This window comes from Homo sapiens, chromosome 5 (assembly GCF_000001405.40).
Source record: "Homo sapiens chromosome 5, GRCh38.p14 Primary Assembly".
NCBI lineage: Eukaryota > Metazoa > Chordata > Mammalia > Primates > Hominidae > Homo > Homo sapiens.
In genome coordinates this window covers 62,496,444-62,513,081 of record NC_000005.10, presented here as the reverse complement: position 1 = coordinate 62,513,081, position 16,638 = coordinate 62,496,444, and the positions used below count along the sequence as shown (strand labels likewise).

The 16,638-nt window shown below is 36.2% G+C and overlaps 1 protein-coding gene and 1 pseudogene across 2 annotated transcripts in view; one reads left to right on the top strand and one right to left on the bottom strand.

Moving 5' to 3' along the window:
* The window catches only part of IPO11 (importin 11), a 215,820-nt gene that overhangs the window by 115,501 nt on the left and 83,681 nt on the right, over positions 1-16,638 (bottom strand). For both annotated transcript variants that reach the window (NM_016338.5, NM_001134779.2), the window contains exons 17-19: positions 8,382-8,415; positions 8,184-8,224; positions 6,725-6,841 (exon numbers count right to left, since the gene is read on the bottom strand). In NM_016338.5, the coding sequence (NP_057422.3) occupies positions 6,725-6,841; positions 8,184-8,224; positions 8,382-8,415 (192 nt within the window). The remainder of the gene's footprint in view (positions 1-6,724; positions 6,842-8,183; positions 8,225-8,381; positions 8,416-16,638) is intronic.
* On the top strand, positions 600-1,311 carry CKS1BP3 (CDC28 protein kinase regulatory subunit 1B pseudogene 3; annotated as a pseudogene).

The following is a 16,638-nucleotide window of genomic DNA, read 5'->3' as shown; positions in this document are numbered from 1 at the left end:
ATGGGCCATGATGACGATGGCGGTTTTCTGGAATAGAAAAGGGGGCAAGGTGGGGAAAAGATTGAGAAATCAGATGGTTGCCGTGTCTGTGTAGAAAGAAGTAGACATGGGAGACTTTTCATTTTGTTCTGTACTAAGAAAAATTCTTCTGCCTTGGGATCTTGTTGATCTATGACCTTACCCCCAACCCTGTGCTCTCTGAAATATGTGCTGTGTCCACTCAGGGTTAAATGGATTAAGGGCGGTGCAAGATGTGCTTTGTTAAACAGATGCTTGAAGGCAGCATGCGCGTTAAGAGTCATCACCACTCCCTAATCTCAAGTACCCAGGGACACAAACACTCTGCCTAGGAAAACCAGAGACCTTTGTTCACTTGTTTGTCTGCTGACCTTCCCTCCACTAGTGTCCTATGACCCTGCCAAATCCCCCTCTGTGAGAAACACCCAAGAATGATCAATTAAAAAAAAAATAAAATTAAAAAGAAAACAACAACAACAACAAAAAAAAGTCCTCCCATAAGGAAAGATGATCAATTCTTATGTATCGTTCTAGGGATATAAATATTCAGGAGGCTTTTCAGAATAAAAGTTAAATCATTTATGTCGCACAAACAAATTTACTATTCGGACAAATACGATGACGAGGAGTTTGAGTATCGACATGTCATGCTGCCCAAGGACATAGCCAAGCTGGTCCCTAAAACCCATCTGATGTCTGAATCTGAATGGAGGAATCTTGGCGTTCAGCAGAGTCAGGGATGGGTCCATTATATGATCCATGAACCAGAACCTCACATCTTGCTGTTCCGGCGCCCACTACCCAAGAAACCAAAGAAATGAAGCTGGCAAGCTACTTTTCAGCCTCAAGCTTTACACAGCTGTCCTTACTTCCTAACATCTTTCTGATAACATTATTATGTTGCCTTCTTGTTTCTCACTTTGATATTTAAAAGATGTTCAATACACTGTTTGAATGTGCTGGTAACTGCTTTGCTTCTTGAGTAGAGCCACCTCCACCATAGCCCAGCCAGATGAGTGCTCTGTGGACCCACAGCCTAAGCTGAGTGTGACCCCAGAAGCCACGATGTGCTCTGTATCCAGAACACACTTGGCAGATGGAGGAAGCATCTGAGTTTGAGACCATGGCTGTTACAGGGATCATGTAAACTTGCTGTTTTTGTTTTTTCCTGCCGGGTGTTGTATGTATGGTGACTTGTGGATTTATGTTTCAGTGTACTGGAAACTTTCCATTTTATTCAAGAAATCTGTTCATGTTAAAAGCCTTGATTAAAGAGGAAGTTTTTATAATCTAAAAAAAAAAATAAAAATAAAAGAATATCCTTGGGGATGAAATAACACTAGACCTTCATAGCTTCACTACTATCTACTTGAATATCTGGATTAAAATTTAAAATGTTCCCAGAAAGGGTGAGTTTCTTCATTCTGCTAGTAAAATACTCTAAAAGGGTAGCCAAACAACTACAGAATTTGCTCCCCTCTCCTGTGGTGAAGTGTTAGTGGGGAATGCAGAAAAATAAGAAGTTAAATATTTGCACAAATATCTCAGTAAGATATAAGTGAATAAATATTAAGAGATGTGTTACCTTATTTTAACATATTTATCATGTAATACCTTATTTTCAAAATTTGATTATAATATTATTTCTGGAACATGTACTCAATATTGCTAAGTGTTCTATCTCAAAGATCACTCCAGTTAGCTCATAAAAGCAGGCCAATTAATAAGTAAAAACAGATTACAAAGTATCTAACTCATTCATACTCAACTAAAAATAAGCATATGACAACACAATCTACTGGTAAGGAAAATGAGGTAGTTTTAGTTTTAAAGAGGGAGGATACTTTCCTAGAAATTGCAGAAAAGAAATATACACTATAAATTACAAATAGGGTAATAAAACCAAAGTACCCAGTTACATTTAAAAGCCATAAAATATTTATATTCCAATCTTGGCTGTCATTAGAATATACAATGTTCTAAATTAAAATTAATGCTATAAAAATAGTATTTCAAAAATCAATCATAGAGGCCAGGCGCAGTGGTTCACGCCTGTAATCCCAGCACTTTGCGAGGCCAAGGAGGGCAGATCGCTTGAAGGTCAGGAGTTCAAAACCAGCCTGGCCAACATGGTGAAACCCCGTCTCTACTAAAAATACAAAAATTAGCCAGGCATGGTGGCGTGCACCCGTAATCCCAGCTACTCCTGCTGAGGCAGGAGAATCACTTGAATCTGGGAGGTGTAGGCTGCAGTAAGCCAAGAGAGCCCCATTGCACTCTAGCTTGGGTGACAAAGCAAGACTCCATCTCAAAAAACAAAAACAAAAAAATCAATCACCGACTGCTGTGAAAGATATAAAAGGAAGGAGAAAAAAACTGGGCATTAAAAATAACAAAGCAGGGACATGAGAGCCAAACATATTCCAGTGGGGTGGGAGGCTAGCTATATGGGGCAACTAAGGAAATCTGAATACTGACTTGATATTAGATAATAGTATTGTATCAGTGTTAAGCTTCCTGAGTCTAATCACGGTTATGATAATGTAGGAAATGGAGCATACATCTCTTAAGAAGGAGAGGTCTAATATTCTGGAGAGTATCATGATGTCTGCAACTAAAACTCAAATAGTTTTACAATAACAATCTGTATATGTGGATAGATAAAAAGAAAGCAAATGTGGTAAAATATTAGTAAGTGATGAAACTTACTAATGAAGTGAAGGATATATAAGTGTTGATCTATTTTATAACTTTTTGGAGGTTTGAGATTTTTCAATGAAAAGAGGTGAAAGAAAAAATACTGTCCATATAAAATTCTGAATAAGATTATAATACAAAGGTTTTAAGGGAAGGACAATTTCAATTATTGGCATAACATTTTAAAAATCACATAGAACTAAGAAAGTTTTTGCAGTCATTAGGGAAATGCAAGTCAAAAACCACAATGAGATATCACCTCATGCCTGTCAGGGTGGCTATTACAAAACAAAAATAAAAGATAAGACAAGTGTTGGCAATGGTGTGGAGAAACTGGTATCTTTGTACACTGTTGCTAGGAATGTAAAATGTTACAGCCACTATGGAAAGTAGCATTGAGCTTCCAAAAAAAATGAAAACCAGAACTATCGTTATCATCCAGCAATCCCATTTCTGGGCATCTATTCAAAAGAACTGAAATCAGGATCCCAAAGAAATTATTAGCACTACCATGTTTACTGTAGCACTATTCACAATAGCCAACATGTGGAAGCAGCCTAAATATCCATCAACAGATGAATGGATAAAGAACATGTGGTATTACACACACAATTGCATATATACACCAATTCTACTTATATGAGGTATCTAAAATAGTCTAATTCATAGAATCAAAGAGTGGAACAGTGGTTGCCAGGGACTAAGGGGAAGGGGAAATAAGTTACTAATCAACAGGCATAAAGTTTCAGGTAAACAAGATGAATAAGCTTTAGGGTTCTGCTATAGAATGTTGTAGCAAAAGTCAACAATAATGTATTCTACTCTTATAATTTTGTTAAGAGGATGGATCTCATGTTAAGTGTTCTTACCAAAGAATTTGAGGTGTGGGGGAAGCACTTTGAGTATTATAGTCTTATGAGTTAACTCATATATAGGGAAAGCTCCACTTAAATTCATATCACTGAAAACATGAAAATCAAATAGGTGACAATCTAACAAATGTTTTAATGAGGGCTCTATCATTGGGGTTAAAAAAATTACTCTAAGTTCCTAAGGACACCTCATCTTTTAGATAAAATTTTCAACAGAGTATTTTATATTTCACAGAGTCCCTTTAATTTTGTTCTTTCACTTCAGAAATGCACAGGCCCAAAGACCACCTGATACCACGCCTGATGATTACATATTTATTTTGACTATATATTTATAAGATCTCTGCACTAGAAAAGTTAACTGTAGGTTTTCAACTACTTTATCAAAAAGTAAAGACAATATTCAAATAATTGTACAGTATGGTACAAAGATGGTGACTTTACTGAAACTTCAACATTAAACTGTATGTGTCAGAAAGCACTATTGTATCCAGCTTCATCCATGTCCCTGCAAAGGACATGAACTCATCCTTCTTTATGGCTGCATAGTATTCCACGGTGTATATGTGCCACATTTTCTTAATCCAGTCTATCATTACCATCATTCTCAGCAAACTACCACAAGGACAGAAAACCAAACACCGCATGTTCTCACTCATAGGTGGGAGTTGAACAATGAGAACACATGGACACAGGGCGGGGAACATCTCACACCGGGGCCTGTTGGGGGCGAGTGGTGCGGGGCTGGGGGAGGGATAGCATTAGGAGAAATACCTAATGTAACTGTCAACATGATGGGTGCAGCAAAACAACATGGCACATGTATACCTACGTAACAAACCTGCACTTTGTGAAAGAAAGAAAGAGAGAGAGACGGAGGGAGGGAGGGAGGGAGAAAGGGAGGAAAGGAGGAAGGGAGGAAGAAAGAAGAAGAAAGAAGAAAGAAAGAAGGAAGAAGGAAGACAAAGGAAGAAAGAAGAAGAAGAAGAAAGCACTATTGTAAGATGGCTCAAAATGTTTGCTGCCTAATATCAAAAAGATAATTCTGGCCAGCTGCGGTGGTTCTCATCTGTAATCCCAGCACTTTGGAAGGCCAAGGCGGGTGGATCCCTTGAGCCCAGGAGTTTGAGACCAGCCCAGCCAAAATGGCGAAACCACATCTCTACTAAAAATACAAAAAAAAAAAAAAAAAAAAATTAGCCAGGCATGGTGGCACACCTGTAATCCAAGCTACTACTCAGGAGGCTGAGGACAAGAATCACTTGAACCCAGGAGATTGGAGAAGAGGGTACAGTCAGCTGAGATGCGCCACTGCACTCCAGCCCGGGGGGGAGAGCAAGACTTCATCTCAAAAAAGATAAAATTTGTTAACATTTTTTAAAAGTTTGCTGCCTCATGGACAAACGTCAAATTTGGCATATTAAAGAGAGTTAAGGGATATATGCAACAATGATAAAAATGATAGGGTTGATCAGAGGTTAAGGTAGAAAAAAAAAGAATCAGACAACTGAAAATATTTTTTTAACCATTTCCTATTTAGTTTGAGTTTTCAAAAACAAAAACTATATTGAATAACTATACCTTATTGTTACTTTCTGATGATATAGGCATGTAAGCTGCTTAGGCTATTTGTGCTCCGAAAGATGAGTGTAGACAGAAACACATAAGCATTTTTAAATTTACTAAGCCAAAAAAATAACAAACTTTACAGAAAAAGTTTTAATTCCAAGTTTGGGGAGACAAAGATAAGAAGACCCATTTCTATTTAAAAAAAAGTTTTATCTAAGAAATTTCCATCTGCCATATATTTCTAAATAAAATTACAGAAAATAGCCAAATCTTGTTTTTATAATCAACTTTTTAAACCATTTATTGCAACTTTATAGTACCCTGAAGCATTTTGGAGATGTGAAATAATTTTATGCTCATGAAATCCTAAGTTAGGTGAGTTCAGAATTATCTTTACCATTTTATACATGAGGACACAAGGTTAAAGACTTTGCCCAAACTAAATAGCAGAGGCAAGGACTTAAAATGAGTTCTTAAAACAGTTGCAATGAACTCTGTGTGACCAAATTCTCTCAATGTTGTTGAAAAAAACACCATCAAATGAATTAATGTGATTAATGTATTAAGAACACCAAGTACTAAGAATCACACAGATATTACTACTTTTAGACACCAGTACCCAGATCTGTTTCAAATGATTAACAGTGACTCAACCCTACCACGGGAGTCGCATTATGCTTAAAGTACTGGCAGTGCCATTAAAATACGTGAACTTTGAAAAGTTCCTTCAAGTCTCAAATTGTTTGAGACAATAAATTCTAACTCCTCTACCTCAAGTTTTTTGTGAGAACTAAATGAGAAATATATGCAAAGCATGTAGCACATATGTCAGTATGTTGTCATTAGTCAATAATTAATAGCTATTCTCATCAACTGCTTTAGAATTAATAAATCTGCTCAAGGTGTCACAATTCACTAACAGCAGATCCAAGGGTAAACTCTAAGTCTGTGAAATCCAAATCAATTATCTTTCCTAATACAATGCAAATCACAGATTTGCTTCAGTGCTTTCCAAACAAGGATATGCAATGGTGAACTAGAATATAGGAAGTCACAACGATAATTACAGTGTGGTTTTCCGGATTAACAATTTTCCACAAAGATTCAGAGTGACAGGGGAAGCTGAATAACTGAACTGTTAAGAGCTTTATACCTCATTTTTATGTTAAGCCAAATGTAAATATAATGCAGACCAGACTGCAAAAAATACTTAATTTTTCAGGTAAAAATAACAGACTTTCCCAGAAGTCTTGCTGATGGACACTTGTGGCTATGCCCTCAAACACACTCAATTTTACATCGGCTGGATCTTCTAAAATATGTAAAATTCTGCTCTATGAACACCTCTACACTGTTGATCCAATTTTTTTTTTAGTATTTTAATTTTCTCATTTTTAGAAAATCGAATATGTCAATTTTGAATAATACATAACTGAAACCACAATCTATAAGTTAGAAGCATTTCAATTAATGTTTTAACTCTTAAACAATGTAGTCAAGGATATTAATGAATTCTACGTCTATTCTACCCACCCCTCATTTATTTTCATGTTTTACAATATAATTACCTGCATGTTGACTCTTTCGATCACACAAGAAAGGACATGCAAAACATGCATCTTTGTGTCACATTCTGTAACTTGCTGCAGTAACTGAAAAAGTAGTGTGAACATGGTTTCCAAATACTGCAGGTAAAAAGAAAGAAAATAAAAAAGGTTTATAATAGAAATGAAAGACCTCTACATTCATACGAACAGAAGTAAGAAATAAATCATAATGTCAAAGCAGTAAGTCAAATAAACAGCCAAAAGCTTGGCATTACCTAAACAACCTGAAATCGTTCAAGCTGCCGGTACATATTGTTTTACAAAGTGTTTTCTTTCTTCATTGCTGCTGAATGTGTCCATTTCAGAATTTAACTCATCTACAAACTGAATAATGTTTAGAGGAATATTGTCTACGCTATGTCTGTTTAAATTTTATACTGTTAACTAAACTGTTAACAGTGCCTTGTCACTGTTCTTCCATATATGCCTGGTGCCAATCACGAAATGTTTTGTTTTGCAAGACCTACTCATTACGGCAAAAAGACGTTAATTATTGCACTCACATACTAGCTATCTGATGTAACCCTTAATATATATTGCATGGAAATATATATTTTTATAGATATAATTTGTTATTCTAAAAATGGCAGAATAGTTCTTATTAGGAAATCAAAAACAAATACCCTATGTCTGGCTGTGAACTCTTATATTATGAAAATTACGTTAGAAACTTAACAAATCACACTTACATAAAGCAAGAATTTGTTCTTTCAGATATAGGGTTCATTTTAGCACACACTTCTACAACACATTTCTTTCATCCAAAAATGTCTAGTGATTATTTTATTAAAGCAAGATCACTGCTTTACAAGCTTCCCTATCTATCTCCCTCACCAAAAGAAGTACATTTTATCACGTAACTTTCTTCTCACCCAGTCCTCTTAAGAACAAATATTAACACCCCAATGTTACTGATATGTTTAACAAGTGCTTACTGAGTACCAGTTATGGCAAAACACCATGTTAGGTGCTGGGGGTTGAGTAAAGAGTAAAAAGATGAGTAGAACTTGGTATTCTGCTCGTCAAGTAATTTACAGTCTAGTGTGTAGGACAGGATAAAGATATACAAATGCAAATAACACAGAGAAATAACCTAAGGAGCAAAAAAGTAACAGACACACATAAAATGAAGATACTAGATGTTTTTCAATTTTGAAAAAAAAAGTTTGACAACCAACTTCAACACAGATGACAAAATTGCTAAACAAAAGTAAGCAGAATATAAGTGAACTGTTAGCAATAAAAGTTACCAAAACAGTTTACAAATAAAAATTATGTCCTCCAAAATAATCCAATACAGCATACTTTTAAATTCAACTTTAATAAGTAACACATAGATAATTTCATGTATAAAATAGTATTCAAAGACATAAGCAGAAATTGTTTTTTAAAAAAAATACCTGGAAATGTATATTCTTACCGGTAGAAACTGATCTGTTCTAAATTCAAAATCATCAACAGGTGAAGAACAGTTAAGGAATACTGAGAATATATAAGTTTTATCAAAATAAATCTGTATCTAAAACAAGTATACATAAATTAATTTCACAAAATAAATAATAATTAAAAGTGTTAAAGTTCTTTGCAATGAAGTATTTTTAAATTTTCAGAAGGATATTTAACTTCAAAGTTGTAGCTGTTTCAATACGGACCTAAAAGAAAGTATATCATTAGTTTTTAATTATTTTAGAATGACTAAACATCATTAATATCAAACAAAAAATTTTATTCCAAATCACTTTCTGTACTCTTATTATTATTAGAGTCACAGACCATGTAAATATTCAGAAATAAAGGGATACTCTCCTTATCCAAAGCAAGGAATAAAAAGAAAAGGTAAAGTAGCATTTATTCCTATTCTTTTCAGTTTCCCATAATTTACTTAATAAGCCTTTAATCCAGTGGGTCCTTCCAGGAAGGAAAATAATTTGCAGTAAAGTATGTGGAGAGCATGGGATTGAGGAAGAAGGAAGCAGGAAACCAGGGTGGGGTTGGACAAATTGGAGGATGTGTAAGTCAAAGGTGCAAAAGGAGACAAGGAAGGAAGGAGGTGGGGAGGAGAAAGAACACAAGCAAATTTCCACCTGTAACCTCAATTACAGTAAATCTTTGAAATATCCCCAAAATATTTTGAGATTTGCTAAATCCCACAGTTCACAAATACAGAAAGGTTTACATATGCTCCTGACCTCCTAAATCATATTTTCCATGTGTACCAGCATGTTACCTGGGCAAATCATATTACAACATAATCTCATTCTCTTTCAAGTGTTATCGCAGACTTAATCGGCTAAAATTGGCATGGGCTAAGATATTCATAGTTTCCACATAAAGTAACATGAGCTCAAGACATGACTAAATTCTATATTTCAATCTGTGAGATAATATATCTAAAACTTTTATTTCCCAGCTGAGAACCATTACTTTCTTAGATGTTACACTATAGCAACTGTTATTTTCTTTCCAGTCATTTTTCAAAAAGTAAGCGTTTAAAACATTTTACAGGAGCTTCTGAGGTCTTGAGATGCAATTAGCCACCTTCACCAAATGTTAAATACTCTACTGCCAAATCCGCAGATTCTAAGAGCCTACAGTGCAGATGTTTTTTCACCTGCTTTTTCCTTTTATTCACTGTCTCTAAAGGCAATGTGAACATTTCCAGATTTTTAACAGATTTAACAAATTTGCTGCCACTTGATCTGCCACAAAATGACCTCACGAAAAGACAGTATGGTCAGGTACTGCATCAAAAACTATTCAATGAGGAACTATCATCGGCACTGTGTTAGCTGCTGTAGAAAAAGCTGAGTAAGCCATGCCCATACAGATCTTACAATCTGGGGAGGAGAGGAATAGATATTAAACTATTAATAGAATCTATTAATAGATACTATTAATATATTAATAGATACTATTAATATATTAATAGATACTATTAATATATTAGTAGATACTATTAATATATTAATAGATACTATTAATATATTAGTAGATACTATTAATATATTAATAGATACTGATAAAAATGGCTAACTTGAAAACATTAAGCACAGGACAATCCCCTTGAGGACATGGACTACACATAAACATCTTTAAGTTCCCAGCATTTAGTACTGAGTGAATATACAAGTACAATATTAACAATTCACAGAGACCAAGACATGAAAGCCCCTCAAAAAGAAACAAGAAATCAAGGCTAGGCACAGTGGCTCATGCCTATAATCCCAGCACTTTGGGAGGCGGAGGCAGGCGGATCACTTGAGGCCAGGAGTTCGAGACCAGACTGGCCAACATGGTGAAACCCCATCTCTACTAAAAAAATACAAAAATTAGCTGGGCATAGTGGCGTGCACCTATAATCTCAGCTACTCAGGAGACTGGGGCACCAGGATCGCTTGAACCTGGGAGGCGAGGGTTGCAGTAAGCTGATTGTGCCACTGCACTCCAGCCTGGGCAACAGAGCAAGACTCCAACTCGGAAAAAGGAAAAAGGAAAAAAGGAAAAAGGAAAGGAAAGGAAAAGAAAAGAAAAGAAATCAAACTGCCAGCACACTAACCCTTAATTCTCTCGACTTTCCTCCACGAAAGGACCATTTATTCTAGAGATGCACTCAACCCCGAGCCATAACATTTATGCAAATAAGTAAATGAAACAAGACACCTGAATAAAACAATGTTTTCCTTCCTAAAAAGGGGAAGTCAGTGTAGTAGTATGTGCAGAGAAAAAGGTGAAATGAATTAAGATGAACTGCCTGCATTCCAGTTTGACTGCAAGAACAGAAAGCCAGATCACAAGGGAAAATAAAAAAACACAGACTTTTAAGGAAAGTTAAAGAGCATTTTAAATGATGACAAATAAACATAAGAAAAACAGTCGGCTCTTCCTGAGCTTTAAAAGAAATAAGAGGTACTTACCACAAAGAAATGGAATGAATTTGGCAGCAACTCAAGCAATGGGGGGACAACATCAAAACTTGAGTTTATAGAATGAAGACTTGTGGAGTGTGCTAGAAGACTGGTAGAAAAGTCTAACACATTTCTACTGTGAGTCTGTCTACCCTACCCCAGCTGAAACCTCAGAAAATTCAGGAAAAGATAACAGGCAATTCCAAATTGGGAGAGTAAGTGCCGTCAAGACATAAGAAACATTGGACAGATCCCCCAAAGCATGAGAGAAACAGGGAAATGAATGAGAAGAAAATGCAGGTCAACAGTACTTCCAAATACTGCTACAAAGGTAAGCAGAGCCAGAAACTTCTGTGCAGATGTCACAACGAATGCATCTTATCAAGACACTTAGGTGGATTTGGACTAGCCTAATGCCTGACCACTTTTACATCTTGCCCATAGCAGTGAAGGCAGTCCACAGACTAAAACAGTGAGCATGGTGTTGGGGCCAGAAAGAAATGGCAGTATCTCAGGGACTTAAGACCACCAGGAAAATGTAAATAAGGCAGACACAAAATAATAATATGCTAAGGAGAAATAAAATTATGATTTCATAATTCAATTATTTAAAAAGCCATCCTCATTCTTGGGTTCTTTCCTATCCCTATTCCTAATTCTTTCAATAAGCATTTTCTAAGACTTGACTCCACGCTAGGCATAAGAAATACTAACATAAATGACATTATCCTATACATTAGTACACTGAATTATACAATCTGGTATCATCCTTCTGAAATGTTATATGAATAAGTTTCCTAAAAGGATAGAAAGCATCTTTGATGTATTCATCTCCTCCTGAATCAAGGACCAGAGATAAAATAAAAATAAATAAATAAATTCATCTCCTTTCAAGAAAAAAATTCTCAAGGTCATTTTCATGTATAATTAATAGACATATCAATTATAAACTCAAAACTGACTGTAGGAAACTTAGTAGACTAAGGTTTCCTTTCTTCTTGGTTTTAGATAGGTCTAATATTTTGATGTCTCAAACACAGATTATTTTATATTTCCTTCAGAATTTATATTTGATGAGTATAATTGAATTCAGAATTCATTCTGGGATCGTTCAAAACACAGACTAGTTGAGAGATCAAGATCTGTAGCAGTGTTTTTGAGATACAAAGGATAGGTAAATAGAAAAAAAAATTAGAGAGTGTACAAAAGAAAAATTGACAAAACTGAAAGACCCATAAAACGCACAAGAGTGGAAAGACAGAAGAGTTTCAAAGCACCTGTAATACCTCTGCCCAGATCCCAGCTGTACTTCCCACAGTAAATACAGGCTATGCTACAGTCTTCTCCATACCACTGAAAGTACTTCATTAAACTCCACCTAGTAACTTTCCATTTTAGAAAATTCAATACAATTATGCATCACATAATAATGTATTAGTCAACAACAGATCACATTTACAAACGTAGTCTCATAAGATTATAACTGAGTTGAAAATTCCCATCACATAGTGATGTCATGGCTGTCAAAACACATCACATTACCTATGCATTTGCGGTGATGCTGGTGTAAAGAAATCTACTGCACAGCCAGTAGTATAAAAGTACAGCACAGACATGGCCTGGTGCAGTTGCTCACACCTATAATCCCAGTACTTTGGGAGGCCACAAAGGGAGAATTGCTTGAGGCTCAAAGTTTGAGAGCAGCCTGGGCAACATAGAGAGATCCCACTCTACAAAAAAATCAAAGAATTAGGAAGGCCTGGTAACATGCACTTGTAATCCCAGGTAATTGGGAAGTTGAGGTGGGAGGATAACTTGAGCCCAGGAATTCAAGGCTGCAGTAAGCTATGATCACGCCACTGTACTCCAGCCTGGGTGACACAGCAAGACCCTGTCTCTTTATAAAACAAAAGTATAGTACATACAATTATGTTCAGTAGTATATAATACTTAATAATGAAAATAAGCAACTACGTTACTGGCTTATGTATATGCTACACTATACTTCTTTATTGTTACTTTAGAATATACTCCTCTACCAATTAAAAAAAAAGTTAACTGTAAAACTGCCTCAGGCAGGTCCTTCAGTAGGTATGACAGGAGAAGGCATTTTTTGTTGTTGTTTCTTTTTTTGAAAGAGTCTCACTCTGTCACCCAGGCTGGAACTGCAGTGGCATGATCATGGCTCACAGCAGCCTTGACCTCTTAGGCTCAAGCAATCCCACCTCAGCCTCCCGAGTAGCTGGGACTATAGGCACATGCCACCATGTCTGGCTAATTTTTGTATTTTTTGTGGAGACAGGGTTTCATCATGTTGCCCAAACTGGTATTGAATTCCTGGGCTCAAGCAATTTGCCCGCCTTGGCCTTCCAAAGTGCTTGGATTATAGGCGTGAGCTACCACACCCAGCTCAGAAGAAGGCATTGTTATCATAGGAGATGACAGCTGCATGTGTGTTAACGCCCCAGAAGACCTTCTAGTGGGACAAGATGTGGAGGTGCAAGACAATGATATTGATGATCCTAACCCTGCGTAGGCCTAGGCTAATGTGTTTGTGTCTTTGATTTAGATTTTAAGAAAAATTACTAGAAGTGGAAAAAACTGTAAAATAAAAAAAGCTTACAGAATAAGGATATAACAAAAGAAAATATTTTTGCACAAATATACAATGTATGTGTATTTTAAGCTAAGTGCTATTACAAAGGAGTCAAGAACTTTAAAAAATTTTTAAACTAAAGAAGTTACAGGAGGCAGAGCTTGCAGTGAGCCGAGATTGCGCCTCTGCACTCCAGCCTGGGCGACAAAGCGAGACTCCGTCTCAAAAAAAAAAAAAAAAAAAAAAAAGTTAGAGTAAGATGTGGTTAATTTATTGTTGAAGAAAGAATATTTCCCAATATATTTAGTGTAGCCTAAGTGTACAATGATTATGAAGTCTACAGTGGTATACAGTGATTTTCTAGGCTTTCACATTCACTAATCACTCATTGACTGCCTCACCCAGAGCAACATCCAAGCCTGCAAGCGCTATTCAAGTTAAGCGCCCTATAGAGGTGTAACGTTTTTTATCTTTTATATTATATTCTTACTGTACCTTTTCTGTTTAGACACACAAATACTTACCATCATGTTACAACTGCCTAAAGTATTTAGTACAGTAACATGCTACACTGGTTTGTACCCACAGCCGAGATAGCCTCTACTATCTCAGATTGTGTAAAAGCACACTCTATGATGTCCCCACAATGAGGAAATCGCCTAAGGACGCATTTCTCGGAATATACCCGTCATGAAACAGCACATGACTATATGTCTATGCTGGTTGGTAGTCAACGTGCCCATGAAGACGGCCATTTCTTTGCTTCACAAGCAACCACACCACACCCTCAAACTACACGCTTTCTGATTATACCACAGTTTATATCTTACATAGGCTTTCACAAAAGTGAAAGATTATACTAATGCTGAATTTCTAGTAATTTACTGCTTGTTTTACTGAAGGTTAAATAATCTAAGTAAAACTTTCTAAAAATTTCTTTTTTCTTTTAAGATGAAATCTTGCTCTGTTGCTCAGGCTGGAGTATGGTGGTTTGATCTCGGCTCACTGCAACCTCCACCTGCCAGATTCAAGCAATTCTCCTGCCTCAACCTCCTGAGTAGCTGGGACTACAGGTGCCCGCCACCATGCCCAGCTAATTTTTGTATCTTTAGTGGAGATGGGGTTTCCCCATGTTGGCCAGGCTCAGGTGATCCACCCACTTTGGCCTCTCAAAGTGCTGGGATTACAGGCGTGAGCCACCGTGCCCAGCCAAGACGTCCTAAAAACTTCCTTTGAATTTCTGAAACTTAAAGATATAATTAGTTCAGAAACCCTACAGCCTAAAGAAGCCCAGTTTATAAACAAAGATTCTGGTTAAAGAATCATCTGTAGTCCTGGGAAAAGAAGGTTCCTCTAAACTACAGTTTAGCAATTCTAGTTTACAGTGTAGAAATAATGTTCTAAAACCTAGAAGTTGTCATAAGCACTCTATCTACTAACTAATATATTATAAAGGGGAAAGGAAGGGAGAATGTAAAAGATACTTTTTAGAAGGTGTTTTGGTCTATTGTATAGAATCCAGGTCAGTAGTTCTCAAATTATGGCACAAGGAACTACCGATATGCTCCAAAAGAGGTAGTCTGTTAACAATAAGTTTAAAAAGGTGGTCAATTAACAGTAAGTACAAACACTGGACCACATGCAAAAAAAAAATGGCTAATGAAAACAGTATTTAATCTTCCATAAACTATGAAAAATTTGTGGGTATTGAAAGCTATAAGAATGCATTTCCTACCAGGTGTGAAGGCTTACTATAAAGCTGTTGTTTAAGAAACAACAACAACAACAAAAAAAAAAAACAATATTCAAGTAGAGATACACAAGTAGGCCAGTGAAACGGCACAAATTCCAGAAACAGGTCCACATGTAAACATGGGATATGACAGAGACAGCCGTATGGACCACAAAGAAAACTACGTATTATTCAGTGAATCACTGTAGTATTGCCATCCTTATTTTTTAAAAAAGAAAGATAGAACCTTACTTACATCACACTCAAAAATAAATTCGAGGCAGAATAAAAAACCAAGAGTGAAGAAAAAGGATTTCTTTCCAGGCCGAGGGGCCAATGCCTATAATCCTAACACTTTGGGAGGCCAAGGTGGGAAGACAGCTTGAGCCCAGAGTTCTAGACCAGCCTGGCCAACACAGTGAGACCTCGTCTATACAAAAAATCAAAAAATTAGCCAGGCATAGTGGTACACTCCTATAGTCCTAGCAACTCGAGAGGCTGATGTGGGACAATTGCCTGAGCCCTCGGGTGTTGAGGCTGCAGTGAGTCGTGACCTCACCATAGCAGTCTAGCCTGGGCAACAAAGTGAGACCTTGTCTCAAAAAAAAAGTAATCAATAAATCTATTAAAATGTAAAACCTCTGCTTAACAAAGACAATAGAATGAGACTGGAAAGAGAAAGAGGAATTCAACTGCATTTGTAATATTTCATTTCTTAAATAAAATATTTGAAATATATGTGGAAAATATTACAAATGAAAATATGGGTAACTGAGTGATGAGCACACAAGTGCTTCTTCTGTTAGCTGCTGAATTTTTTATTGACAAAATTCTTGCCTATGGGGTAGCCCTGCTCTTTCTACGGAGCAGCCAAAAAAAGAAAAAAAAATTGACAGCTACTTCTACTCCGTCACAGCCAGTCTCCTTCTAATAACAAAAGAATAGCACATGGACAACGGTAGTTAATCAGTATCAAATGTATCCCGATTCCTTAACAGCAGCCCTTAGGAAAGAGAATGCAGATTCTGAAAGCCAGAGAGGAATTCGATTCATCAGGATCTACATACTTGTGACACAGCAGAAGCAGTGCAGCAACTGGAGGAAACAACTTCTCCAGTTAGTATAGGACTTCACAAATTTTATAACATCAGAGGCCGCTGGGCAGAGAATGTCTCTTACCTCTGATAGCCGTGTGACAATATAAAATTACTGTCTGATCTAGGGAAATATAATGCAGAGTGACATATTTTTTGGTTTATTTGAAATATTGTTAAGTTTTCCTCAGTGTAGCAATTTGACTTAATTGTGTGACACATATGTATACACATACATACACAATGTGTGTTTGTGTATATGTTTATATATATAAATGCATGTTTGCATATATATACATACATGTCTCTATATGGTTGTACACTATTGTGTATAGGTATGCATGTATAAGATATCTCCCCACATTATATTAGCTAGCATTTCTCAAAGGCTGAAAATTAAAGCAGTATGACTTATACATTCTTGATTTTAAATGTACTTTTTAAAAAGGCCAAGGTTTACAACACTAACCACTAACTGGGTGCCTTACTGAACAATCTTCTTAACAATTTATTGCAAAATAATAGTTACAGTATAAAACATATGCAAA